Below are 27,433 nucleotides of genomic sequence, written 5' to 3'. Positions count from 1 at the left end.
CTGCAACCTGTCTCCTGGGTTGAAGATACTCTCATGCCTCAGCCTCCCAAGTAGCTGGGATTACAGGGGTGTGGCACTACGCCTGGCTAATTTTTTTGTATTTTTAGTAGAGATGGGGTTTTGCTATGTTGGTCAGGCTGGCCTCGAACTTCTGGCCTCAAGTGATCCGCCCACCTGGGCCTCCCGAAGTGCTGGGATTACAGGTGTGAGCTGCTGCACCTGGCCAAAATATATATATATATTTGTATGTCATTAACACGATTCTTTTGCACAGTGGCTGTAAAGAGGGTATTTTGTCTTCCAAGTGAAAGATTAAAAGGAGGGCAAGGGGGATGGAAAGAAAAGAGATTTCACTGTTAACTCAGTGCTGGCCTAGGAACCCTTCCACCAGTTCCTCTTTGGAATGGCCCACTCCTTTGCGGGGGCTATTTCCACACCTTCTACCTACATCAAACAAGTCGTGGACACCGCTCTCCCCTCCCAGTGGGGTGACGCTTCACCTCCTCCCTGCCAGCACCCAGCGGTGCCCCCGGCCCAGGCACTGGGCGGCTGGCGTTGGCTGAGCAGCCCCGCTACTCACCGCATAGACAGGAAAGAGCTCCTGCGCGTTCAGGTCCCACTCGTTGACGTGGGTGCCAATTTGGACCCCGGGAAAGCCCAGCTCTTTCACACAGCGCTCCATCTCCTTGACCGCCAGCTCAGGGGCCTGCATGGGCAACGTCCCCAGACCCACGAACCTCCTGGGGTAGCTCACAACGGTGCTGGCAAGGTCGTTGTTTAAAAGCTGGCACAGGTTTAAAGTGTCCTCAGGTTTGGCCTGGTGGAGACAGGAAAGGGAAAACCGCATTGTTGAAAACCTACTTCTTTTAGACATTCACTCTGAACAGTGCCTCCTCATGGCTATAATATTTGTCATTTTCAGTGGCTTTACCACATCAGAAAACAGAGGCACAGATTGGGAAAGGTGCTGGCCACAGACAACCGAGAAGCCAATCTTTGTAAAGCAAAGAAAACTGCAGGTATATTGCTGATTCATTGGAAAAATTGAGGCCAGAATCAGAAGGGAAGAACACAATTACTGGCATGGTATCCCAACACTAGAGATGGAATGAGCATGGGCCACTGCCAACTGCAGAAAGATCTTAATGCCCCCCTACCTCCCAGGAGGTCGGGCCTGGCCAAGGGCCCCAGGCCACCATCAAGGCACCTCCTTGTCATGCCCCATTGAGGGCCGCCAGGCTGGCTCACTGACTTGTCCTGCCCCTGCCTGTCCTCCTCTCTGTCCTTCTTGTTGGCTGTGACATTCAGGGCTGTCCTTGGCAAAATGCTGAGGCAGTTGAAGTTTACTGTTGGTTTTCCTAATGCTCCCTTCTTCACTGTTTACTTTCCTCTGTCACCCCACTGCCCACTGCCAGGAATCTGGTCCTCTCCTGCAGCCTCAGTTGTCTAATCAGAGTGGTAGCCAATCTGATAAATTCAGGCATTTTGAGGTCTCAGGGCACTTTTAAGTAGTGAATGCAATCGCAGGAACAGGCAAAGACTGAGTCACTCACTAATACTGGATTTATGAACACAGATCACGGAAGTATGTATGAACAGGTGATATTTCCACTGCTCCTTAAATCACGAGAGTGAGTATCTGCTTGGATGAGCAGGGACTAGCACATTCCCGGCTACGTACAAAAATTTTCCTCCACAGGCTGGAAATCATGCCTGAAACTTTTAGTGCTTGAGATTTATTCACTTGGGAAAGGGCATCCCACTTCAGGATTACCCTTCTGAATTGTGTTTTTCCCTTGGAGAGGTGATATATTAGGTCATGATTATTATTCCTACCTCAAAATCATTCTCGTCTCAGAAGATATTAGCTTGTCAGTTCCCCGGCAAGGCATTGCAGGAATGAGTCACCAGACAGGTAAGTTCTGGTGGAGATTAAGGCTGGTCTAGTACCACTGTACAGTGAAACTATAATGCAAGTCACATAGCAACATGTGACTACTGGCTACCGTACTGGAGCAAAGACATGGCTAAGAAGACAGGCCTGAGAGGGGACCCTGCTGATCGCTAAAGGGGAGGACAGTTGTTGGGGGCAGTTAGTGGTACTGGTGTCCAAACTTGAGGCATCTGTTCACTTTTTGGGAGCTCAACACGAACCTTCAACACCAAGGAGATGGCTTGAGGTTTCACACTCACCCAGTAGCTAAACATGACAGGAACTGTGGAAAGGGCTTGCACTGTTACTCCTAGACATGGACACAAAGAAGGGCAAAGCTGGTGAGAAGAATAGGCTGGGCACTCCTTCCTTTCCCAAGGCCAAGCGGCAGCAAGCCTCCACCCTAAACTCCTCCTGCTCTCCCTCCCTGCGTCCCTCTCAGTCCTCTCCCTGGACCCCCCTCAGCCCCCAGCCCCAGATTCTAGGGAAGTAAGTAAAGATTGGACACAAATGAGATCATTCAAGGAAAACTAACTGACCCCATTTCCAAAGAGTTATTTCTGCCCTCCTTCCTGTGAAATTTTATTTAAGCAAGACTTTTTCAGGCTTTCTGTCTTAGGTTATGCACAACAGAGCATGTCTCTCAGCCACCTTCCCTGCCCCTTTAATTCAGCTCCTAAGTGATCCTAGAAGGAGTCCCATGATCTGAAATACCCAGAATGGGACCCTGAGTTTGACTCCAGCATCCAGGATGCCAAGAATCTTTTGTCTTCAAGAGGGTCTACTTCCTAGGGTTGTTGTAGGGATTAAATGAGTTAATACATGTTAGGTTCTTAGAATAGTGCCTGGCACAAAGTAAATACTCAATGAGGGTTGGTCATGACTGTTCTCTCAGGGACAGCCAAGGAATGCAACACACAACAAAAACCAAAGTTGACACACACACTTCGTTTACCGTGCAGCCGTAAGTAGTGGTTTCTGACACCAGTCATTCAAGTCTCATGCTCACTAGTTTTCTCCTTGAAAAGGCAGGTCCTTGCTGCAGCTTCACATTTACTACAAAACCTTGCTCTTTGCTGTAGGTCAGGGAAGCATGTTCTTTCTCCAGCTCTCCTCCCACTCCAATATACTTTTAGAACAGAGGGATATATGCTATATTCTGTGGAGTACTCTACAGAGGTGCTGCAGGTTTTCTGCAAAGTTCAATTTAAATGCCACTTAAATATATTTTTAATTAAAAAATTTTTTTAGAGACAGGGTCTTGCTCCACCACTAGGCTGGAGTGTAGTGGTGCAATCACAGCTCACTGCAGCCTCAAACTCCTGGGCTCAGGTGATCCTCCCACCTCAGCCTCCTGAGTAGCTGGGATCACAGGTGCATGCCACCACACCTAGATAATTTTTTTTTTTTTTTTTTTTTTTTGTGGAGACAGGGTCTCACTGTGTTTCCCAGACTGATCCTGAACTCCTGGGCTCAAGGGATCCTCCTGACGTGGCCTCCTAACATGCTGGGATTATAGGCATGAACTACCACACCTGGCTCTATTTTTAATTGTTAAAAAATATATAAAGCAAAACCTGGACAAAGGTATCTACAACAAATTCCAACATGCTGGAGACCACCTACTCACTTTAGGCTGACCGTTTGATTCCTTTTTTGCAGACCTTGGAATAAAATGTCTCCTGCCATCTCTTTGTATATTTGAACTTCTTACAATTTGTCTTTGATTAGGAAGGTGGTAGTGCTAAACTGCTCTTTTATTTGTGTGTTTGAATTGTTTCTTTTCTGGTTGAAATCTTCCACCAATGTAAACACTTAGTTCTGACAATGTCAGTGGTGGTCAGTTCCCCATCACAGCCCATGGACACAGCCCACATGTGTCTGGAAGGCTCAGGCATTTTCTTGGAGCATGTTCTCCTCAGGTGGCACAGTCAACCAGGCAGTCACAGGTGAAGCATAATGTGGCCATCATGTCATACTTTAGATAGACTTGGAAATTTCATTTTGTTTTGTTTTGAGACAGAGTCTCACTTTGTTGCCCAGGCTGGAGTGCGGTGGTGCAATGTCGGCTCACTGCAAACTCCGCCTCCTGGGTTCAAGCGATTCTTGTGCCTTTGTCTCCTGAGCATCTGGGATTACAGGCACGCGCCAGCATGCCTGGCTAATTTTTGTATGTTTAGTAGAAATAGGGTTTTGCCATGTTGGCCAGGCTGGTCTCAAACTCCTGACCTCAGGTGATCCACCTGCCTTGGCCTCCCAAACTGTTACTGTGCCTTTTCTGAAATTCTTTTAAATTGTGAGGACTTGTTTGATTTTTAGATATAAGGTAAAAAGTGCAAGATGTTCTTATAGCTTTTTAGCAATTCAGCTTTGAAACGAACACTTCCTAATTCTCTTCTTTCAAATTTCTGGATTGATTTTATTGTAGTGTATTCTGAGATTACACAATTAACTATTTTTAACTGCTTCCATTTCCAACCCTGATGTGTCAGTGGGAATGTTCTGTGTATGATGCACCGAGACAAACTACAGAAAGAAATTGGATCTTAAGTGTTATTAAGCAGGCAATTGTCATTCTTAGTTTTGTGATTTCCAGTTTTTACTATTTTAATTGATTTTATAATAAGTAAATACTATACATTTGAACTAATTTTTAAAAATAATAAAATGCCATTTTTATCTTTTTCATGATATAGCATTCTATTTTAAAACAGGGTATAACTCATATGAAACATTTTGAATCCACACTCTAAAAGCATTGTAGTGGAAGGCCCTGTCCCTCCCACAGTGAAGCTGGAACAGCCTGTCCTGGCAGAGAAAAGGGGGTCAGAAGTTACCATCACATAAAGTTGTCAGCAAACTTTAAGGGCAGACATTGCTTTTACATCAGATGCTAACATTGGTAGCACTTCTCATCGTACCTTTTTGGTCCATTTCTCTAATACGAACTTCTGGATCCCAGCAATTCTCTCGCACCACTCTGAAGACTTTCCCATCTTTCAACAACTTTGCTTCTCCCTGGGGCAGAAAACCCACATTACTAAAATGCAACCTAAGACCACTTGGACTAATCTTTCCTCATGTGCTTTAGAACGTATTTCTTCCCTAATATTTGAAAAGATTTTTACTTAATCCTTGTGGAAGTAGAAATCAGTAATTTAACAAAAATCAGCTTTCTTTCCTCATGCTTTTCTTTGGCCTAGAGTTGAAGGGGTGTGCTCTGTGGGCGTCAATGGCTGGACACAGAGATAGCAAGGTTGAGGTTATGTTTCTCTGGGCTGCCTGACTGAGAATGGCTGATCACCTTGCTGATCTGAACCCCTGGCTACTAGATACAAGAGGATGGCCCAGCGTCTGGAAAATGGTAGTTCTATAACATTTAGAATTGAAAAGAACCTTTGAGATAGACCACCTAGTCCAACCCTCTCATTTTATGGAGAAGCAATATATGGATAATGGCAGTGTATGATTTGTCAAACAGAGCAGGGCCCACTAGTGTCAATACCTGTGGGAGGAGGTGGGCAAAGAAGTCAGTCTGGTAGCAAGCACAAAATTTGGTACTGAGCTACTTCTTCCACCAGGCATCATGCTTGCCTGGGTACACAGCAATAATTTTTATACATTTTAAATGACAAATAAAAATTGCATATATTTATGCTGTACAACATTATCTTTTGATATATGTGTGCATTGTGGAATGGCTAAATCAAGCTAATTAAAATGTCCATTACTTCACATACTTATTTTTTTTGAGGTGATGACACTTAAAATCTATTCTTTTAGCAATTTTCAAGTATACAATACATTTTTATTAACTATAGTCACCATATTGTGCAATAGATATGAACTTATTCCTCCTGTCTAACTGAAATTTCATATCCTCTGACCTTCTCAATCTCTCCCCACCCCTTCAGCCTGTGGTAACCACCATTTTTCTTGATGCTTCTGTGAGTTAGACTTTTTTAGATTCTACATATAAGTACAGTATTTGTCTTTTTATGTCTGGCTTATTTCACTTAACATAATATCCTTCAGTGTTATTCATGTTGTTGTAAATGATAGAATTTCCTTTTTATAAAGGCTGAATAGTATTCCATTATGTATATATGCCACATTTTCTTTATCCATTCATCCACTGATGGACACTTAGATTGATTCCATATCTTGGCTATTTTGAATGATGCTACATTGAACATGGGAATGCAGATATTTCTTCAACATACTGGTTTCATTTCCTCTGCATATATAGCCAGAAGTAGAATTGCTGGATCATATAGTAGTTCTATTTTTACTTTTTCTCAGGAAAACATATGATCATATCAATAGATACAGACAAATTTCTACATCCTTTTATGACTTTAAAAAACCTCAATAAATTAGGTATAGAAGGAATAAAGCTGTGGGATTGCCATACATGAACTTTATTGTTGATCAACACAATAAAGTCTATGTATGGCAATCCCACAGCTAACATCATACTTGATGGTGAAAATGATGAAAAGTTGAAAACTTTTTCTCTAAGATCAGGAACATGACAAGGGGGCTCATTTTGCCACTTCTCAACATCATAAAGGAAGTTCTAGCCAGAGCAATGAAGCAAGAAAAAGAAACAAAAGTCACCTAAATCAGAATGAAAGAAGTTAAATTGTTTTTGTTTGCAGACAACATGGTTTTATACATAGAAAACCCTAAATATTCCACCAAAAAACTGTTAAACTAATAAATTGGGTAACGTTGCAGAATACAAAATTGATATATAAAAGCCCATAGCATTTCTGTATGTTAACAATCTGCAAAAGATATCAGGCAATCCCATTATTTATTTATTTATTTCTCGAGATAGAGTCTTGTTCTGTTGCCCAGACTGGAGTGGAGTGCAGTGGTATGATCTCGGCTCACTGCAGCCTCTGCCTCCCAGGTTCAAGCAATTCTCCTGCCTTTGCCTCCCAAGTAGCTGGGATTACAGACATGCGCCACCACGCCCGGCTAATTTTTGTGTTTTTAGTAGAGACGGGGTTTCACCATGTTGGCCAGGCTGGTCTTGAACTTCTGACCTCATGATCCACCGGCCTCAGCCTCCCAAAGTGCTGGGATTACAGGCATAAGCCACTGCTCCCAGCATTAGGCAATCCCATTTAAAATAGTATTTAAAAATACTTAGGAATGAATCTAACCAAAAAGGTGAAAGATCTGAAAACTATAATACATTGATGAAAAAATTAAAGAAGACACAGACGAATGGAAAAACATCCCATGTTCGTGGATTGAAAAATTGATATTGTTTAAATGTCCATACTACCTAAAACAATCTATAGATTTAATAAAATGCCCCCCAAAATTCCAATGACATTTTTACAGAAATAGAAAAAAAAACCATACATTTCATGTAAACCACAAAAGATCTCAAATAGTCAAAGCAATTTGGAGCAAACAGAACAAAGCTGGAGGAACTAAAAACCTTTTGCACAGTAAAGGAAACGATCAACAGAGTAGAGAGACAGTTTATGGAACAGGAGAAAATATTTGTGAACCATATATCTGATAAGGAGTTACCATCCAAACTATATAAGGAACTCAAAGAACTCAATGGCAAGAAAACAAATAACTGGGTGAAAAAAGGGGCAAAGGACCTGAAAAGACATTTCTCAGAATAGATATACAAATGGCCAATAGGTATAAGAAAAAATGTTCAACTTCACTAATCATTGAGAAATGAGATATCATCTCATACTTGTTAGGATGGCTGTTATCAAAAAGACAAAAGATAATGTGTTGATAAGGATGCGGAGAAAAAGGAACCCTTGTATGCTCTTATTTGGTAACTGGTACAGCCATTATGGAATACACAACTTTTTAATACTCAGAGCAGGGGACCAAACTAAATGGTTGTGCAGAACATGGCAGTGGCATCTACGTTGGGCCTCCAGTTTGTGATTCCTAAAGAAAAGGGGAAGAACTAGGGTAGGCCCTGGAAATAAAATTGCCTGAATTCAAATTCTTGTTCTGCCACTTACTATGTGGTCTTGAGCAAGTTAAACAATATCTTCAAGCTTCAGTTTGTTTATCTTTAAAATAGGGATGATAATGACTTACCTTAAAAAATTAATGTGACTTACATTAAAGGGATCATGTCAGCATGAAATAAGATAATCCATATAAAGCGCTTAGTGGAGTATCTGACACATAAGTGTTATTATGGTTATTTGTTATTAATGTTGTATAACTAGGGGCTAGACAGTGTTCCTCTGCTTTGAGGGCACACCACCTTTGGTGGTGCTTCAGGGCCTCAAGGTTACCTTTGGGCCCCATAGAATGTCCAAGTGGGTGTGCAATGATCAAAGGCTTTGAGCTCTGCTTGGTGGAGTCCTCTGCTCTCCTCCTCCTCCTCTTGGCTTGATCATGAATTGCATCCAAGGCTTCATCCTTCTACTCCATAGACAAGACATCCTTCTACTCCATCTCCTGCATGAAGAAGTCTGGATGCTTTTCACCTTTAAGTGCTGTAGCCTGTTCATTTTGCACATATATGAGGAAGACTTCAGATCCACATTTTATTTCTCAGGGATGGGGAACAGGTCAGTGAGCAAGTTGACTTGTGTAATTGTGACAGGTGTCCACACACTAGCAGAGCTGGGTCTCTGACATCAGGACACCAAGATTGATGTGCTTCAGCTCTGATCCTCCGTTGACCATGCCAGCATCTGAACCACTTCCTAGGTTGGGGAATCTCCTGCAGCAGTCGTGGTGGAGGCAGGGCCTAGCCTTCTTCTGCAGAAGGCCAAATACTTGCTCTCCCTGCCCCAAGCTTGGCCAATCAATGCTTGGTTTTGCATTACGTGATGCAAAAAAACAGGAAGAGTTGAATTTATTCTGCCAGTGATTCCAGCAGTGGCCATGTACAGTGGCTATTGGCAGTGGTGCTGGGGGCAGTATCCAGCTGGGGCAGCAGCCTCCTTGCCAGGCTGTTCCTGTGGTGTTGCCTTGGCTGTGGCTTCAATCATGGGAATTCCCTGAGTTTCTGCAAGTTTTCTGAGCTTGATTCCACAGATACTTTGTAGTTCTTGAGGGGCTTAAAATATTTCAACAAATTTCTTTTCTTCTTACACTAATGATTGTTGGTTTCTGTTGCCTGCAACCAAGAGTCCTGACTGATAATGATTGCACAAATAGGATATAGGAACACATGTCTTTTCATTTGGTGAAGAAGGGAGAGGAGAGGGGTGATGGTGAAAAAAAAAAGTTGAGAAACAAACTTTGATTTGGCAAATTGGAGGATTTATTTATTTTTGCTCCTTGCTGGGAAAGCTTAATCACTATAAAATACCCAGTATAGCAGAGTGCCAAAGAGCACAGTCTTTGCATTCAGACAGCTCTGGGTTTAAATCTCATTAAATTACTTAGTAGCAGCACTGACTGGTGAAGTTACGGGCCCTCTGAGTTTAAGCCTCACTTTTTCTGTCTGTAAAATGTGGATCATTATACTTGTCATGCTTGTGGCCATCCAACATCCTTGGAACACATCCTATGTGTGAAGTAACGTTCACAATTATAAATTCTGCTTTCTTGAGGTAGAATCCAAAATATGCTTTCCCAGTCTCCCTTGTAATGGGGCATTAGCATGTGCTCTGGGCTTTGCCAATTATATGCACCCACCTGTGCATATAACTTTGACCTGGAAGTGAGCAATGTGAGGAAGTAGGGACTATGCAGAGTCCACCTGTAGACAGGGGTGTTGTCTAAGATGTTGAACATGACTGGAGCAGCAGAGGCAAAGCTTCTAGTCTCCAGCCTTGGCAGCATTAGCATGAGCATCCTGTCCATGACTGGGAGTGGCAACACTTGCATCCTTGTTGGAGCAGCTCACCAGGTGAATGTGGGCATTGATCATGTTAGCACAGCCCTCAGAGCTTGATCTCTGGCCCTCACAGGAACTCTGGGAGCTGTTTTTCTAATTAAACTAACTAGAGTGAATTCTGTTGTTTGCAATTAAGAACACTGAGTGATAAAGAAGATTCAATCATAGAATGTAAAGAACTTAGCACCAGGCCAGAGAGCATGCTCAATAAATAACAGCCAGATTTTACCATGTATTATCAACTGCAAGGGAGGAAATTGGGTTTCTGTGGGAGATGCCTGAGTAAGTTTTGATTTCAAACAAAGCAGAGTATCTTAAAGCTGCAATAGATTATTTAGTTCAGCCCTTGCATTTTACCAATAAGTCCATGAGGTGCAGTGACTTGTCCAAGGCCATATGCTTAGCTGGTATAGAGCTGTGGTTTATGAAGCCATTTTCCATCTCACAAGGCTAATATTTGGTGATGGGTGTCTATGTAGTAGGCTAAAGTTAATTACTATAATTTCCTAAAGAGTTTGATCTTTTAGGGGCTGGGAGTGCCTCTCATTACATGGCAGGAGAAGCAGACTCACCAAACTTCACTTTTTCACATCCTTCATGCTAGATCCATGGTAAGAAAAATGAACGGTAGCAAGTCGGTAGAACTCTTTCTGAGTAAAAATCACTGCAGAGCAGCTGTGCCCGTATAATAAGCCCCCAGTTCTCATTGGTTTTTTTTTTCCAGCTGGAATTTTGAGAGCTGACAGCCATTGTAAGGAATCAATCCCTGATCTCTGTCGCTTTACATTCAGGCAAGGCTGTGGATGTGTCTGTCAGCACTTGCTGCTGGAGGAGGAAACAGGGATTTCTTGGGTCCTGGTTTTTAACACTGACCTCAGCATTAACCAAGATCTTAAACTAAACTAATAACCAAGTAATGGGAGCAAGCTGCTTTAATTTAGACAACCAGAGCCCAATCCCATTTTTTCCTAAACTCTCAAAAGAAAATCAAGTTTTTTTTTTTTAAACAATTCCTCCATGCAACTATTACTATCCAGATAACACACTTTAAATACACCTCTTATATTTTTAAAGCCAGAACTTCATCTTGGAGTCTGATTCCTAGGGAACCTAACCTGTGAACTTCTGACTTTTAAGTTCTAATTCTAATACTATCCCCAAACAAGCCCAAATATGGCTGGTATTTCAAATATCTGATACTGCATGTATCATCAGAAATGTATTTTCTTGTCTTTCCTTTTTTTTTTTTTTTTTTTAGATTGAGATGGAGTCTCGCTCTGTTCCCCAGGCTGGAGTGTAGTGGTGCGATCTCGGCTCACTGCAATCTCCGCCTCCTGGGTTCAAGTGATTCTCCCACCTCGGCCTCCTGAGTTGCTGGGATTACAGGCGCGTGCCACCACACCTGGCTAATTTTTGTATTTTTAGTAGAGACGGGGTTTCACCATGATGGCCAGGCTGGTCTCAAACTCCTGACCTCAAGTAATCTGCCCTCCTCAGCCTCCCAAAGTGCTGGGATTAGGCGTGAGGCACCATGCCCAGCCAGAAATGTATTTTTAAACTCAGTCTTTCACCATCAGATTTCCATTCTCCTCCCCATCCCCCTAGTGCCCACTCGAGCAATCCCTCCAGACCACACCAGCTGCCATGCTGGTTGGGCTCGAGGTGCAGAGTTGGCAGAAATGGCCCAGACCTTGTCATCAGGAAGCAACCTCTGTAGTCACTGCAGCTCCCACATTCCCAGGTTCTGAAGGACAGCTCCCCCGGGAGGCCCTACTTCAACCAACCCAAACTCGATTTGCTCAGCCTGTTTTTCTTCTTGGTCCCTGGCCTGCTTTTCCTTCTGGGTTGGCGGCTTCTATCCTTCAAGCCTACGTTACTTTGCTTATTGCCTGGAGACTACATCATTTTTTTGCTTCCCTCTGCCTGATAGGCCACCATCCAATTCACTTCCTAATACCATTGATTCTCTATCCAGAATATTGCCTACGATGGCTGGTCCACTTCTCTCCACCTCCACTGCTCATTGTTCCACACCCTCATCCTCTCTCCCTGAATGATTTCTCAGCCTCCAGCCCCATCTCCCTGCTTCCATTCTGACTCCCTTTCAACCTAGTCTCCACAAAGTGGTCAGAGTAAACTTACAAATCCCCATCTCAGATCTTGCCACTGCCCCACTTAAAACTCTTGAATGGATTCCCGTTTCCCTGAAGGTGAAATCCAGACTCCTTAACCTGGCCTGTAAGACCCCGCATGATCTAAGTAACCCCTGCCTACCTCTGTTACTTCCTCATGTTTATACCTTTATAAATAGTCTCTTTATGAACTCTTTTCAAAGTAGTCTAATTTAAGTGTGCCGTTTGTTTTCTATTTGGAACCCGATTCATCCAGCTTTAAACACCATACGTATAACACACTAATAATACTCTGTTATTTCCAAAGGTGCATTCCTATTTCAGTAAAACCATAGGAGAAGTAAATACCCACCAAACTGTTAATAGGAATTAATTTTGAGAAGATGTACAAATGACCAACAGACATGAAAAAATGCTCCACATCACTGATCATCAGAGAAATGCAAATCAAAACCACAATGAGATACCATCTCACAACAATCAGAATGGCCATTATTAAAAAGTCAGAAAATAACAGATGCTGGTGAGGCTGCAGAGAAAAGGGATTGTGGCCAGGCATGGTGGCTCACGCCTGTAATCCCAGCACTTTGGGAGGCCAAGGCGGGTGGATAACCCGAGGTTAGGAGTTTGAGACAATTCTGGCCAACATGGTGAAACCCCGTCTCTACTAAAAATACAAAAATTAGCCGGATATGGTGCCAGTTGCCTGTAGTTCCAGCTACTCAGGAGCCTGAGGCAGGAGAATGGCTTGAACCCAGTAGGCGGAGGTGCAGTGAGTCGAGATCACACCACTGCACTCCAGCCTGGGAGACAGAGTGAGACTCCTAAAAAAAAAAAGAAAAGGGAATGCTTCTACACTGTTGGTAGGAATGTAAATTAGTGGAGTATCTGACTGTGGAAAGCAGTTCAGAGATTTCTCAAAGAACTTAAAACAAAATTGCCATTCAACCTAGTGATCCTATTACTGGGTATATATCCAGAGGAAAATAAATTGTCCTACCAAAAAGACACATGCACCTGTATGTTCATTACAGCACTATTCACAATGGCAAAGACATGGTATCAACCTAGGTGCCCATAACGATGAACTGGATAAAGAAAATATAATATTCCATGGATATTCCATATACACCATAGAATACCATGCAGCCATAAAAAATAATGAAGTCATATCCTTGCAGCAACACAGATGCACCTGGAGGCCATTATCCTAATCAAATTAACACAGGAACAGAAAACCAAACACTGCATGTTCTCACTTAGAAATGGAAGCCAAACATTGGGTTTACATGGATATAAGGATGGCAACAGTAGACACTGGGGACTACCAGAGGGGGCCAGGAGGGAGGAGACAAGGCCTGAGAAACTGATTGTTTCCAGTGGTTACTATGCTCACTAACTGGGTGGCGGGTTCAATCATACCCCTAAACCTCAGCGTCACTTGATACACCCAGGTAACAAACCTGCACCTGTATCCTCTGAGCTTAAAATAAAAGTTGAAATTATTTTAAAGAAAGGAAGAACTTTTGAGAACAGGGAGTGCTGGTCCAAGAAAATTGTAGCTTTATCTCTAATGGCTTGAATCTAAAAAGGAGCATTTAGTCAAATATTACTTATATAATAATAATAATAAATTATTCTTAAAAACATTTGAAGGTATTGGACAAGATAAATGGCTTTCAGCCAGTTTTGGCTGTGACCCCACATTAAGAAATCTATTTTTTGGCCAAGCCTGTTGGCTCACGCCTATAATCCTAGCACTCTGGGGGGACGAAGCAGGTGGATCACTTGAGGTCAGGAGTTAGAGACCAGCCTGACCGACATGGTGAAACCCTGTGTCTACTAAAAATACAAAATTAGCTGGGTGTGGTGGCACACACCTGTAATCACAGCTACTTGGGAGGCTGAGGCAGGAGAATCGCTTGAACCTGGGAGATGGAGGTTGCAGTGAGCTGAGATGGTGCCATTGCACTCCATCCTGGGCAACAAGAGCGAAACTCCATCTCAGAAAAAAAAAAAAAAGAAATCTATTTTTCATTGTCATTCAGAATACCCATATATATCTATTTGTACAGACACAAACTGAGAAAGAAGATTCATGAAACAATATTTACTCTTGCCATAAGCAGTGCATTCTACTATTTTGTTTTGCAATCTTTTTCATTTTTTAAGGGGGTTAGTACTTCGACATATGAATTTGGGGGGCGGGGGATACAAATACAGTTGATAACAGTGAGGAGTCCGACAGAATTATGTGTGTAAAAATGCTGAAAGTGTGATGTAAATGTTCACGTGTGTGTGTGTGTGTGTGTGTGTGTGTGTGTGTGTTCCCAAGGCCCTGGGATGAACTCAGTGTGTGTTTCTAGGTGCTGTTGACCTATGGCTTTGAAACGGGCCTGTGTCTACCCTCCTGGGTTGGAGGCTTTAAAATGCTCCCAGGTGTCTTTGCCATCAGGGCACAATTCTGCTCCCACCCCATGCAGATCCTGGCAGGTTGTCATACAAACCAAGGACTGGCCTGCTACTTACACTTTTATAAATATTCAATCAAAAGACAAATAATGTTTTTCACTTCTGAGCAAGGCTTTGCCATGACAAATGACTACCCCTCAATTTGTTTGGGGAACACTGAAAAACCAAGAGTTAAGAAGAGAAATGGAGCAAACCAGAGAAATGTTTTGGAAAGAACTTTGAGAGAACAGGTATCTCCAGGGTAAGTCAATCCTGGGGGCAGAACACATTTCTTCACTAAAGGAACATAGGAGAGTAAGAATTATTTTCAAATCCCAAATCCTGGATTTTCTCATTGCTCCCAGCCTATTTTGCATAATTGTATACATTTGCATGTTGTTTACATTTGCATATTGTTTTCTATGGACTCAAATCCCTGACAACTGTAATTATGAAAAATACAGACTGGGTATGTTTTGGTTTGCTTTGTTTTGTTTTTGAGAGAGAGGGAGTGTGTTACTCTTTTGTCCTATTTGATTACCATTGTATCAGATTTTGCTGGAAATAAGTCAGTAGATGTGACTGGAAAATATTTCCTTTTTGTTTTATTTTGGAGATTTGGCTACTAAGTTTATGAAATTTCTTGATATTAAAACAAAATGAAATGAAGGCCATTCAAATCCACTATTGAAGGACAAACTGAAGACAGGGACATGGAGTAAGAAAGAAAAAAAAAAATCACAGCTGCCTGTCCCTGCAGCTGGGGCTTCCTAGCTGCTTTGCCGTCAGCTCCATTTATATCATGTTTTCCCTCGGAGAGACTTGAGGCCAGCTTAGAGCATCAGATCCTGGTCTAGGAACTAGCATTTTGAATGGGAGAAGTGAAGCACAGTGTTTGAATTGGCACTTAGTGGACACACAAGAAGGTGAGGATGGGCTGCCTCAGAGACAGTGATGTTTAAAATTCTTGAAAACCTAAGCAGTACCATTCAGGACATAGGCATGGGCAAAGACTTCATGACTAAAACACCGGAAGCAATGGCAACAAAAGCCAAAATTGACAAATGCTAAAGAGCTTCTGCATAGCAAAATAAACTATCATCAGAGTGAACAGCAACCCACAGAATGGGAGGAAGCTTTTGCAATCTATCCATCTGACAAAGGGCTAATATCCAGAATCTATAAGGAACTTAAACAAATTTACAAGAAAAAAAACAACCCCATCAAAAAGTGGGCGAAGGATATGAACAGACACTTCTCAAAAGAAGACATTTATGTGCCCAACAAACATGCAAAAAAGCTCATCATCACTGGTCATTAGAGAAATGCAAATCAAAACCACAATGAGATACCATCTCATGCCAGTTAGAATGGCTATCATTAAAAAGTCAGGAAACAACAGATGCTGGAGAGGATGTGGAGAAATAGGAATGCTTTTATACTGTTGGTGGGGGTGTAAGTTAGTTCAACCATTGTAGAAGACAGTGTGGCGATTCCTCAAGGATCTAGAACCAGAAATACCATTTGACCCAGCAATCTCATCACTGGGTATATACCCAAAGGATTATAAATCATTCTACTATAAAGACACATGCACACGTATGTTTACTGCAGCACTATTCACAATAGCAAAGACTTGGAACCAACCCAAATGCCCATCGATGATAGACTGGATAAAGAAAATGTGGCTGGCTGGGTGCAATGGCTCACGCCTGTAATCCCAGCACTTTGGAAGGCCAAGGCGAGCAGATCACCTGAGGTTGGGAGTTCAAGACCTGCCTGACCAACATGGAGAAACCCTGTCTCTACTAAAAATACAAAATTAGCTGGGCATGGTGGCACATGCCTGTAATTCCAGCTACTCAGGAGCCTGAGGCAGGAGAATCACTTGAACCCGGGAGGCAGAGGTTGCGGTGAGCCAGGATTGTGCCATTGCACTCCAGCCTGTGTGACAAGAGCGAAACTCCATCTCAAAAAAAAAAAAAGAAAAAGAAGAAAAGAAAATGTGGCATATATATACCATGGAATACTATACAGCCATAAAAAAGGATGAGTTCATGTCCTTTGCAGGGACATGGATGAAGCTGGAAACCATCATTCCCAGCAACTAACACAGGAACAGAAAACCAAACACTGCATGTTCTCACTCATAAGTGGGAGTTGAACAATGAGAACACATGGACACAGGGAGGGAAACATCACACACCATGGCCTGTCGGGGGATGGGGGTCTAGGGGACGGATAGCATTAGGAGAAATACCTAATGTAGATGACGAGTTGATGGGTGCAGTGAACCACCATGGCACTTGTATACCTATGTAACAAATCTGCACATTCTGCACATGGATCCCAGAACTTAAAGTATATATATCTATCTCTATCTCTATCTATATCTATCTATCTATCTATCTATCTATCTATCTATCTATCTATCTATCTATCTGTATCCCCAAAAAACTCTTTAGTGGTTCCCCACTGTCTTCAGGATCAAGTTCAAAGACCTAAGCTCATTTTGGGGCCTAAACCCCTAAATCCTTCATGGCCCTGTCTGATGAGGTTTCTGGCTTCCTCTCCATCTTTTTGCCTCTTTTTCACTCTCCCTACTCTTGTCTGCCTCTATGTGTTCTCCACAGAGCAACCAAAGTGGTCTTTTAAAGCCATTAAGACCCTCCGAAGAATTTGCATTGTTTTGAGAATGCAATCCAGACTCTTTAGCGTGCCCTGCAAGTCCCCATGTGGCTGGGCCTCTGCCTACCTTGCCAGCCCATTTCCTACTATCTCCCCCTTTCACTGCATTTCAGCCACATTGCCCTCCTTTCTGTTCCTTGAACACATCAACTCTTTACCACTTGGTGGCCTTTGCAACTGCTGTTCCCCCACTTGGAAAAGTGTTCCCTTCTCATCCTCGAAGCCTTTGCCAGGTCACAGACCAGCCAGCCTCTTGCTCTCTATCACATCGCTGCTTTATATTCCATTCTCTGAATTGATCATGTTGACTTGTGACCCCTGGAATCTGAGCACTATCAGAGCAGGGACTATGTCTATCTTGTTCACCAGCATATTCTCAGTGTCTAGGTTGGTGGGCCTGACACAAAACAAGTTTCAATAAAAAGTAGTGAGTCAGTGAATGAATGTGTGAGAGCCAGTGGTTCTCAAACTTGAATGTGCTACTTTGGGAGGCTGAAGTGGGAGGACCACTTGAGGCCAGGAGTTCGAGGTCAGCCTGGACAACATAGTGAGACCCCCTGTCTAAAAAATAAAATAAAATAATGATCTGGGCATGGTGGTGTGTACCTGTAGTCTCAGCTACTTGGGAAGCTGAGGTGGGAGGATCACTTAAACCTGAGAGTTGGAGGCTGCAAGTGAGCTGTGATTGCATCACTGCACTCCAGCTGGGCAATAGAGCGAGACTTTGTCCTTAAAAAAATTAATAATTAAAAAACCCTTGACAGTGCATCAGAATCACCAGGAGGCTTGTTAAAACAGGTTGCTTGCCCTACCTCTAGAGTTCTGATTTGGTAGGACTGGGGTAGGGCCTGAAAATTTGCATTTCTCCCAAGTTCCCAGGTGATGGTGAAACTGGTTGTGGGACCACAGTTTGAGAAATGCTGGTAGCTGAGTGCTTGAATTCTGAGCTTACATATGTTTAATATTTCATGCCTTTGTTCCCTTTCTTCTTTTCCTAGAACATGGTTTCCTTATTCCCTGGGCAAGCCTCCCTGCCTGCTTTAAGATGTGGGATGGGCATCATTTCCTCCAGAAGGCCTTCTCTGATCCTTGGTGCCCAAATCTCTGCCCCTTAGCACCTGATGTAAAGGGAGTCCTAACCTTTCCATGCTGCATTGGGTTAACTCTGCACATTAACTAGATTTCCAGACCACAAGTCCTCCAGAGCCTGCATTAGTCATGTCTGCATGCCAGCTGGAAGCTCAAGAATATTCCCTCTGAACTCGGAGAGGACATATGATGCCTCTGAAAATGAAGTCAGACCCATGCCCTGGGCAGATCTAGACTCCCAGCTCACTCTTGGGGCTCGTTATTTCTAGAGGGCTTTGCCCACAGCCTTCTTCTTTTTGCTTTTTCCTCTTACCAAACTCAACCCTTAATAACACTGTCTTCTCCCCTTTGTCTCCAGTGTTCAATTTTTCCAGCTTGTGCTCAAACCTAACTGTCCCATTTATTTGGTCAGCTTTAATATACTGTAATAACCTGTAGAGAGCACTAGGTCACTTCCTCCAGGCAGAGCAATAAATGCTAAAACTGGTTGGTGGGGGTGGGGAGAGGGGAGAGAGAGAGAGAGAGAGAGAGAGAGAGAGAGAGAGAGAGAGAGACCTTTTAATGTGTTCTCAAATTCCAATTTTATCTTCCTAAATACTACTCTTTGAAGTCACCTCCATTTTTCCCAATTATTCTGAGAAATCTCAGTGCTGTTCCCTTGTCTACAACAAAGCTAATACATGGGCAGAAGAGTGGGGTTCCCTGGAGGCCCAGCCTGCAGTGAGGTATCCCATGGCTCAGCTCTCCCTGAGTGCTACTGATGTTCATACTTTGGAAGAAACTCACCTTGCTGTGGTGTTGGAGCTGCACCCAGCCTCCGTAGCCAAACCTCTGCAGTGGGGAGAAGCACAGTTAGAGTCAAAGAGCAAAGACCAGGCTGCAATCAAGGGGCATGCTAAGTGCAGAAGATCCTGAGCTCCACCTTTCAAGCATTGCCTTCCCATTTCCCCCATACCCATGTATCGCCTATTTAGTATTTACAATTAAATTCACTTACATTTTTCCTTCAATATATTTATACAAGAAGAAAATACTGTTATCTCAGCAGTGCTGGTTTTATCTTTTCCCCTAATGCAGCTTGAATTTTTAAAATAAAGATTAACATGAAAAAATATTGTTCATGTGCCACCTAAAATCATTTCACAGGCTACCAGGAGTACATAGCTCCTAAGGACCACTCTTTAGGAAATACACTGCTTTTCAAACTGTGGGTTGCAATCCATGAGTAGATTGTGATATCAGTTTAGTGGATAGGGACTCAAACATTTTAAAACAGGAAATCATGTATGTAGCAGATGCTGTTGGTGTCCCGCTCATATCCCTTTGCTTTCACACTTCTGTGCATGCCAGCCCACCTCCATCAGCCAGCGCCTGCATTTCACTGGCTGAGGGCTTTCTCCTGGAACCTGCTTTGATCAAGCCATCCTAGTAGGTCAGAAGTACTAAGAAATTAGCCCCCTGCATCCCCTTGGCCCAACGCCCTTAACAGATAATTGAGGGAGTTGTATATAAATACACTGAACACACCGTACCCCACCCCTCGGTCAGGATAACACAGAGATGAGGCACACATTTTGCTCTGGAATACAAACCTTTCACTGGCTGCCCTGTTTTCCCTGTCTCACTTCCTCACTCTACTGGTGTTTCCTGGGATCACCTCCAAAGCAAACTACTTGCATCTGAATCCTTGTCTCAGGGTCTGCTTCTTGGAAAACATAAGAGAGTAAAGGAATGGAAAGGAATAGAATAAATTAGAATGTCTCCCGTGTATTAAGTAATGGTTTCATAACATTTTTCTTCCCATTTAATGTATATAAATGTTTGTACTGAGTCATAATGTAAAATAGATTTCCGCCTGGGGATCATGCATAAAAACTGTGGAAAGCCACCGCCTGAAAACATAGGTAAGTATGACTCAAATAACTATTGACTTTATCATATCATATCATACTGCATCATATCATTATTCCTTCTTCACGCTTTCATGGAGTCCCATCTATGACAAGCCTTACTAGGGCAGAGAAAATAAAAGTGAAGGTTAGTTCCAGCCCATGTGGAGCAGAGTCTTGGGAGGTTAAGGCTGGGGTAGGCAAGGAATTGAAGGGCCACATCATTGCGTGTGAGACGCACTGTGACTGTGATGCACAGGTGCTCTGGGGGCCTTGGCGAGGGAGCTGACCTAACACCTTGGGCTGCGGTATTGGGAGGGAGGTTGAAAAGGTAGTCCTGGGGTCAGATTGCAGAGGATCTTCTAGTGTTCAGGATTTCCACGCTTCCTGCATGGCTCTCACAGTGTGGTGTCAGAGGGAAGGAATGGAGGCAGGAGATAGCTACATGAGGGAGCTCCTTAATGGCTCTGAGTTGGTCAGCGGTGATGGGTCAACGAGTAAAGCAAACTGAACATCAACTCAACCTCTCACTTGTGGCTGGATGAGGCCAGGGTACAGCAGTTGGTTCTCATGCTGTGGTGCAGGGAAGTTGTCTGTAGGGAGTCAGGTCTTGGTGGACTCCTTTCCTAGCTCCCTTCACCACTAGACTGAGGGGAAGGTCTGGGCCTGGGCCATGGTGCAGCATAGAGGTGTTTGTGTCTCTGTCTGTGCCTGGGGTCTGCCTCAACAGCTTCTTAAGGTTTGGATTAATTCTATACCAGTCTTATTCCACCCAGGTATAAGGTCTGTTCTTGAGTCCTAGCCCCAAATTATCATATTACCTTTAGAAATCTATCTTCTGTTTCTTCCCCAGTGACATCAGCAGAACCGGTTTTGCAGGCTGGGCAGGCAAGGGAGCTCAGTTTCTCCTCTCTGCATCCAGCCTCTCCTTTGCTTGTGCCCTCAACCCCTGCTCTCACCCTTCATGCATTCAATGCCCTGGTACTTTTTCCTTCTTTTCCCCTGGAAAAAGCTGCCAAGAGAGGTGTGTTGGGGGAGGAATGGAATATGACCTTAATCAGTTACACTTTAGAGTGAACTTAAGACTATGTGCTCTTAAATTAGAAATTTGCCATTGAATTTTTATCCTTAATGTAGAAGAAAAGGTTTTATTTCCCTCTTTCTCTACTGCCTGCTTTCTCCCGCTTCTTCCTCACTCTCTTTCTTTGTTACTTTCTTGTAATTCTGTAAGGAACTGTAACCCATATGTTAGCAGGTAGAGAAGTATTCCATCTGGGGAAGGATAGGGAGGTAGGAAAGGCAGAGCAGAGGGATCCTCCCACATGCGACAAGTCACTTACAAGGCACTTGACTTTGTTGGTGTGAAATGTCTCCAAGTCACTGTATCCTTATGTGTGTTAATGAAATGAGGCTAAGAGGAGTGGTGGGGACATAAGTTTTCAGGGGAATTAGCTGAGATAGTGCATATAAAGCTGCTGACACCAGGCCTGGCCAGTGGACAAGGCTTCATTCATGCTAACAATGATGCTGATGGTGACGGTGGTGATGATGGGGGCACTAATTGCCATGGTGGAGGGAGTGAGGTGGTGGTAGTGGTGTGGCTGAAGTAGTGAGTATGGTGGCAATGGTGGTACCCGTGATGGCTGATGGTGATGGTGCTAGCAGTGACAGCCATGGTGATAGTAGCAGTGGGGATGGTGGTAGGGGTGGCAGTTGTGGCGACAGTCTTATTCCAACCCCAAATAGAATACCCTGGGGTCAGAACTAAGGAGAGCCATGAAGAAAAGAGCCTTTTGTCCCTCTGTGTCCCTCCCTCCCTTTCCTGGAAAGTATAAAGTGCCAATTTACCTCACAGGCCCCTTGCAAAGACTCAACTTATTTAGGGCAACTTTATTCTTCTCCAGGTCTGTGCTTGATGTAGCCCCGCAGTTCTCATCCTAGGTTGAGCCGAGCCTGGAGTCTAAAATTTATGACCCTGGGAGTGGTTTTGGTCTGAGCATATGCCGGGAAGCATCTACAATCTGAAAGTGTTTGACTGACAATAACCAGTGTCTCACAGCATTTATGAGCATGCCAAATAAACAATTGAAAACATTCAAGGAAATTCAGTTTTATATACAAGAGATATGTTTCTGAAATGGGCATGTATGAATCAAAGTGGATGAACTGAATGACATTGTTAATGTCTTGAAGACATCACACCTCCATGAGGTGAATAATGAGCCTCCTGGGTGATGAAACCAGATATTTATCTCCTCAGAAGGATTTTCTAAAAATCAAATGATGTCTAGGATTTTGTCTTCTAAAGCCTTATATCGATGAAGTGCAATTGCTAACAAAAGAAGGTGTAAGTATATGATTTTCAAATTGAAGGTCAGAATTTTTTGCTCCATTTATAATTAGAAGAATCTTTGCAAGCCCTACTATTGGGCAGACAGTAGGTTGTCAGTAAGGCCTTGCTGGAGGAAAAAGCTGAAACTGTATCATCCTCATTGTTGCTGTGAATAATCCATTGCAGATCAACCTGAAACATCTTTCACCACTGTTTCTTGGGCCCCACCTCCTGTTTGTGACAGCAGAGAGTGTGGGTCCTCATTCATCAGAAACAATTTGATCAAGTATCCCTGAATCCATTGTCTTTATACGTCAGATATGTTTTTTTTTCAAGAACCCTACTTGTAACTCTGACTAAAATTATTATTAGCAAGCGAAAATGAAAAGATTTCTCAAATCCCCGTCCATTATCATCATTAATTAAACATCACTTCAGGCGTGTTGATTCTGCTTTTCTGTCTCTTCATTGTGCAAGAAGGTCAAGGTTATTCCAGCAGCAGTACTCTCTTGGGCCAGTTTTCTCAAGATGGGTGTGGTGGTGGGGAGGCTCTTGAGGGACCACGGTGGCCTCTCATAGCTCTGGGATTCTAGGTTCATTTCTGAGTCTCAAGCATCTCATCTGTCAAGTGAATAATATAAATCTTATCTGCATATTTCACAAGGTTTATGTAAATTATTTCTCCCTCTGTCTCTCCCTGGAAGTACGAAGTGTTATGACTATAATGATGGAAATGATGTAGATGGTGATGATGAAGTGTATCAGCTGTCTGCTTGCAGCATATGAGACTACTACATAAGAAGAAACCTGGTTTGGAATGAAAAACCAAACATCATATGTTCTCACTCATAAGTGGTAGCTAAGTTATGAGGATGCAAAGGCATAAGAATGACACGATGGACTTTGGGGACTCGGGGAAAGGGTGGGAAGCAGATGAGGGATAAAAGACTAAAATTGGGTGCAGTGTATACTGCTTGGGTGATGGGTGCACCAAAATCTCACAAATCACCACTAAAGAACTTACTCATGTAACCAAACACCACCTGTTCCCCAATAGCCTATGGAAATAAAAATAAATACATAAAAATAAAAAAAGAAGAAGAAACCTGGTTTATTGGGACAAAATTCCTCTCCCTCTTTAAAGCAATAGCTGGTGATAGAAAGGAGAGGGAGTTTGGAAGCTGGGAAGTCCAAGATCTGGTGAGAACCCGCTTCCTGGTTCTAAGATGGTGCCTTCTTGCTGTGCCCTCACGTGGCAGAAGGGGCGAACAAGCTTCCTTGGGCTTACTTTATAAGGGCACTAATCTCATACATGAGGGCTCTGCTCTCATTACCTAATCACCTCCAGAAGGCTGCATCTCCTAATACCATTGCCTTGTGGATGAGGGTTTCACCTGAATTTTGGGGGGGACATACACATTCAGACTGTAGCTCTCTCTAAGCCTCAAAATCCTGTCTGCACAAGGAGGTGTATGCCCTGGAGCTTGGAGCCCTGCTTGGAGGGTCGATCATGCTAGCTAGCTTTCTCAGTGGGATAGTACAGGGGGGCGTTGTCCTCTAGAGACCACCGTGGTGGTTTCCAAAGCATTTCATGTGGATATTCTTTCATACTCAAATAGAGAAAAAAGCTGTAACAGAGGAATTAGTGGTTTTTTTTTTTTTTTTTTTTTTTTTTGCTAGGTATAGTTTATGGCTATTTTAAAATACCAAATACTAAAATTTGGATTTTTCTAAAACTCTCAGATTAGGGAGTATAATCTATTGCTTCCATTACCTGTATCACAAGTTAGTCAATGTGTTCATTGCATCATTCATCAGGCAAATACTCATAAATGAGGGGTAGAAAGTGGTGGGCGCCATAAGATGTAAGAAACTGCATGCAGCTTCTAAACAAGGCAGATGCACTCCCACAAAGTAACTGGTGCATTCCCTTCATGAAATCATTAACATTGTGAAGTGGTTTACACTTCAGTAAACTATGATGAGGACAACAGCACTCAGAACAGCATGTTCCTGTGTAAACATGTAGAGTCCTTTTAGGAAGAGCAGGTTGAGAGGTTTATCTTTTATCGTTAGCTGTGCATAGGATAGGCTTTCAAAGATTTTGTTTTTCAATCCACAGTTTCTACCACCCCTCTTACCTAAGATACCAATGGACAAAGAAATACTTAAGATAAACATTCTTCAATGAGACAACTATGAGAAGAAAATAGTTTCATCTATTTGCACAATGAACCACATTTAATTCAAGTTTGGGTTAATTCATTTTCCCTCACTTGGGATAAAAAAGTTGAAACATTATCGGTGGTGTGAAAGTACTGGCAGAATGCTGAAGATTGGGTAAAACCTGATATTAAGCCTGAACAAACCTCTAGCCAATTTTACATTTCTTTCATGTTCCTCACCTTCCTCTTTTTATATTCATTCAAAAGTTCTTAATGACAAAAGGAAATTTCCATCTTTAGAGAAACACAAAGAATACTCTCTTAGGAGATGTCACTGTGCAAAAGCTTCATGTCATTTATTCTCGGGTTTTTTGATGTACCTACTTCCTAGTTCTTCAGGACAAAGATTTATAGAATAAAGAACATCAAACAGTAAAGGTTTCAGGCAGTGTCCTAAAATAGACTAAAAAAATTCACAAAGCTATCTCTTGGTGCTTCTAAAACTTATTTTAAACATTTTGGAAAGGAGATATATTTTAGAAGTCCTTGAAACCGATCACATTCCATTTTTAATGGTCTTCTACTTAAAATTGTAACTTTAAATTCTGTAGTTGGCATGTATCTTCCCAGCAGCTGAATATGTGATTTTTGAAAAGGTAAATCTGCCTTATTTAAATTGTCCAGATATTTTAAAGAATGGTTCATTTGAGGGAAAAAAGGGTTTCTGAGAAAGCACTTATTTCTTTAATCCAATGTTATTTCAAAATAAATATAAAAGTCATTTTTAAAAGCTAGAAAATCAGAACTACCAAATGATTTAACCCCCTCGCCCCCCACCAAAGCAGATAAACTAGACATCTAATTCCACAAAGAAGAGAAAGGCATTGAGAAACCCTGGAGAAGTTTCAGAAATAATTCAGCAAATTAATTACCATTACCTTTTTTAGATCTGGCCATTCTTTTGGTAGAATATGACTATGGATGTCAATTTTCATCTCCACAGGATCAGAGAAGCATGCAAGGAAAGAAGTTTTGATATCAAGAGACCTTTGTGAAAACTGTGGAGTTAATTGATTTACTTAGTCCCTTTACAGCAACCTTCAGGCAGCAGTCAGTAGGCCTGCCCAACCCAGTCTAGGTCCATTAGAACTGCTTTATTAAAGTTCAAAGTTCTGTTTATTTGTTAACCAAGCTTTGGTTAACCAAGCTTTATTTGTTAATCAAGCTTTGGGTCAACACAGTTTGGTAGTCAGGACTCTTGGCACAAAACTTAAAAAAACAAAAACAAAAACAAAAACAAAAAAACAACTGTACTCAACTGTATGAGGTCAAAAGCACAGCAGGATGCTTTGACTTACAGCAGGTCAAAAATTGACTGATTTTTCATTTTAAATATTTTAACTTAGTTGTACATAGTTAATAATTAAATAGTTTGTAGTTAAAAATAAAACCATGCAGAGGGCTTTTACAGAAAAAGGATAGATCCCTGACTCACCTTTTCTTACTTTTCCTTGCACTATTCAGAAGCAGCCAGTTTTTATGATTTTGCTTTTTGTTCAGTTAGTTACTCCCATATCTTTAAATAATATTTAACAGTTGTCTTGTTCATGAAAATTTAACGTGTTGAAAAGTTATGGGGAGGTTTCACATTTTAAATCACAGAAAGAGTCCACTCTTCATATATGTTTTTTCCTCCAGTGCCTTTGTCTTGGACTCATTCATTCATGCATTTTTTTCCTTTTTTTTTTGTTTTTTAATTTGAGATGCGGTCTCACTATATTGCCCAGGCTGGTATGGAATTCCTGGGCTCAAGCAATCCACCCACCTTTGCCTCCCAAAGTGCTGGGATTACAGGCGAGAGCCACTGCACCCAGCTTCATTCATGCATTTAACAAACATTTATGGAGAACTGCTATATGCTGACGATGTAAGGTTGACTGAGAGAAAGATGATACATATCCTAAAGTGTAGGGAAAAGAAGATAGTAGCCATTTCCATTTAGCATTATCAGAGCAGTCAGGGAGGGCTTCCAATATAGCAGAAAGTGGGGCTTATATGGTCATGCCTCTAAAGAGAGCCTGGAACAAAACAGCCCTTGATTGTTCTGTGTTTACCCTTTCCTCTTCCTGAACAGCTTAAAATGTTCAAGGGACCCCAGGTCCCCTGGCAAACCCTTAAACCTGCCTTGGTTGCTGCCTTCAGCTCAGACTCCACAACACATAAATTGAGTAGTCAAAAAGCTTCCTTCTGTAATTCAGCTAGATTCTGGATAAATTATAACAGACAGCTTGAAAGAAAATAAAGGAAATCCTTGAAATCCATTTTTTTAGAAGTTCAGTGAGCTAAAACTGAATGAGTAAGCCTTAAACTAACATGGAGGCACTTGCTAATACTGAGTAAGTAAGTGCAAGCATTTTTAGAGCACTCCCAATGGGCCAGGCACTGGTCCATGAATTTTAATAAAGTCGGTTCACTTATTACTCATAACATTCCTGTGGGGGAAGAACTAGGACCAATATTCATTTTATAGAAGAGGAAACTGAAGCACGGAGAAGTACCTTGTTCATGGTTACACAATAGTGTGTGGGAGAACTGGAATTAGAATCCAGAAAATGTGGCTTCAGACTCCTAGAGATTTCAGGGTTAATATCCCACAAGGGAATGGGAGATAATAATATGGGCTTGTACAAAACTGAAATGCCCTCATTACACTAAAAGTCTTGAAGGATCTAGACCCTCAGGGAAAAAGTAGTCTAGGAAAAAAATCCATTGGCCAAAAAGAGGGAGTCTGTAATGAAACCTGTCTTCACTATGAGGGGAAAAAAAGAGAAGAAATAACAATTTTCTCTGAGAATTTCTTTGAGAATTACTATTCAAGGTCACCCACTAAGATTTTAGT

The 27,433-nt window shown here is 42.2% G+C and overlaps 1 protein-coding gene and 1 non-coding gene across 10 annotated transcripts in view, besides 1 other annotated feature; both read right to left on the bottom strand.

Moving 5' to 3' along the window:
- The window catches only part of ACMSD (aminocarboxymuconate semialdehyde decarboxylase), a 63,419-nt gene extending 37,823 nt beyond the window's left edge, over nt 1-25,596 (bottom strand). The window contains exons 1-5 of one of the 9 annotated variants that reach the window (XM_011510592.3): nt 25,473-25,596; nt 19,741-19,853; nt 18,935-18,979; nt 4,855-4,951; nt 581-817 (exon numbers count right to left, since the gene is read on the bottom strand). In XM_011510592.3, the coding sequence (XP_011508894.1) occupies nt 581-817; nt 4,855-4,929 (312 nt within the window). In that variant the 5' untranslated portion in view covers nt 4,930-4,951; nt 18,935-18,979; nt 19,741-19,853; nt 25,473-25,596. Of the gene's footprint in view, nt 1-580; nt 818-1,157; nt 1,250-2,193; nt 2,244-4,854; nt 4,952-18,934; nt 18,980-19,740; nt 19,854-20,858; nt 22,991-25,472 lie in introns of those variants that run through there. The other 8 variants (XM_017003325.2, NM_001307983.2, NM_138326.3 and 5 more) reach the window with 8 other exon arrangements.
- Nucleotides 5,087-5,287: a silencer, noted in NCBI's record as "peak3872 fragment used in MPRA reporter construct". NCBI's record gives its function as "represses an SCP1 promoter by STARR-seq MPRAs in K562 erythroleukemia cells {active_cell/tissue: K562}" and the evidence as "EXISTENCE:reporter gene assay evidence [ECO:0000049][PMID:32103011]".
- Nucleotides 6,339-6,392, bottom strand: MIR5590 (microRNA 5590). Its single transcript, NR_049856.1, has one exon. It is a non-coding gene; the product is annotated as a microRNA 5590 (primary transcript).
- Nucleotides 25,597-27,433: the final 1,837 nt, after the last annotated feature.

The sequence above is a fragment of the Homo sapiens genome, chromosome 2 (genome assembly GCF_000001405.40).
Source record: "Homo sapiens chromosome 2, GRCh38.p14 Primary Assembly".
Lineage (NCBI taxonomy): Eukaryota > Metazoa > Chordata > Mammalia > Primates > Hominidae > Homo > Homo sapiens.
The sequence above is the reverse complement of the archived record's forward strand: the minus strand, read 5'-3'. Positions and strand labels throughout refer to the sequence as shown.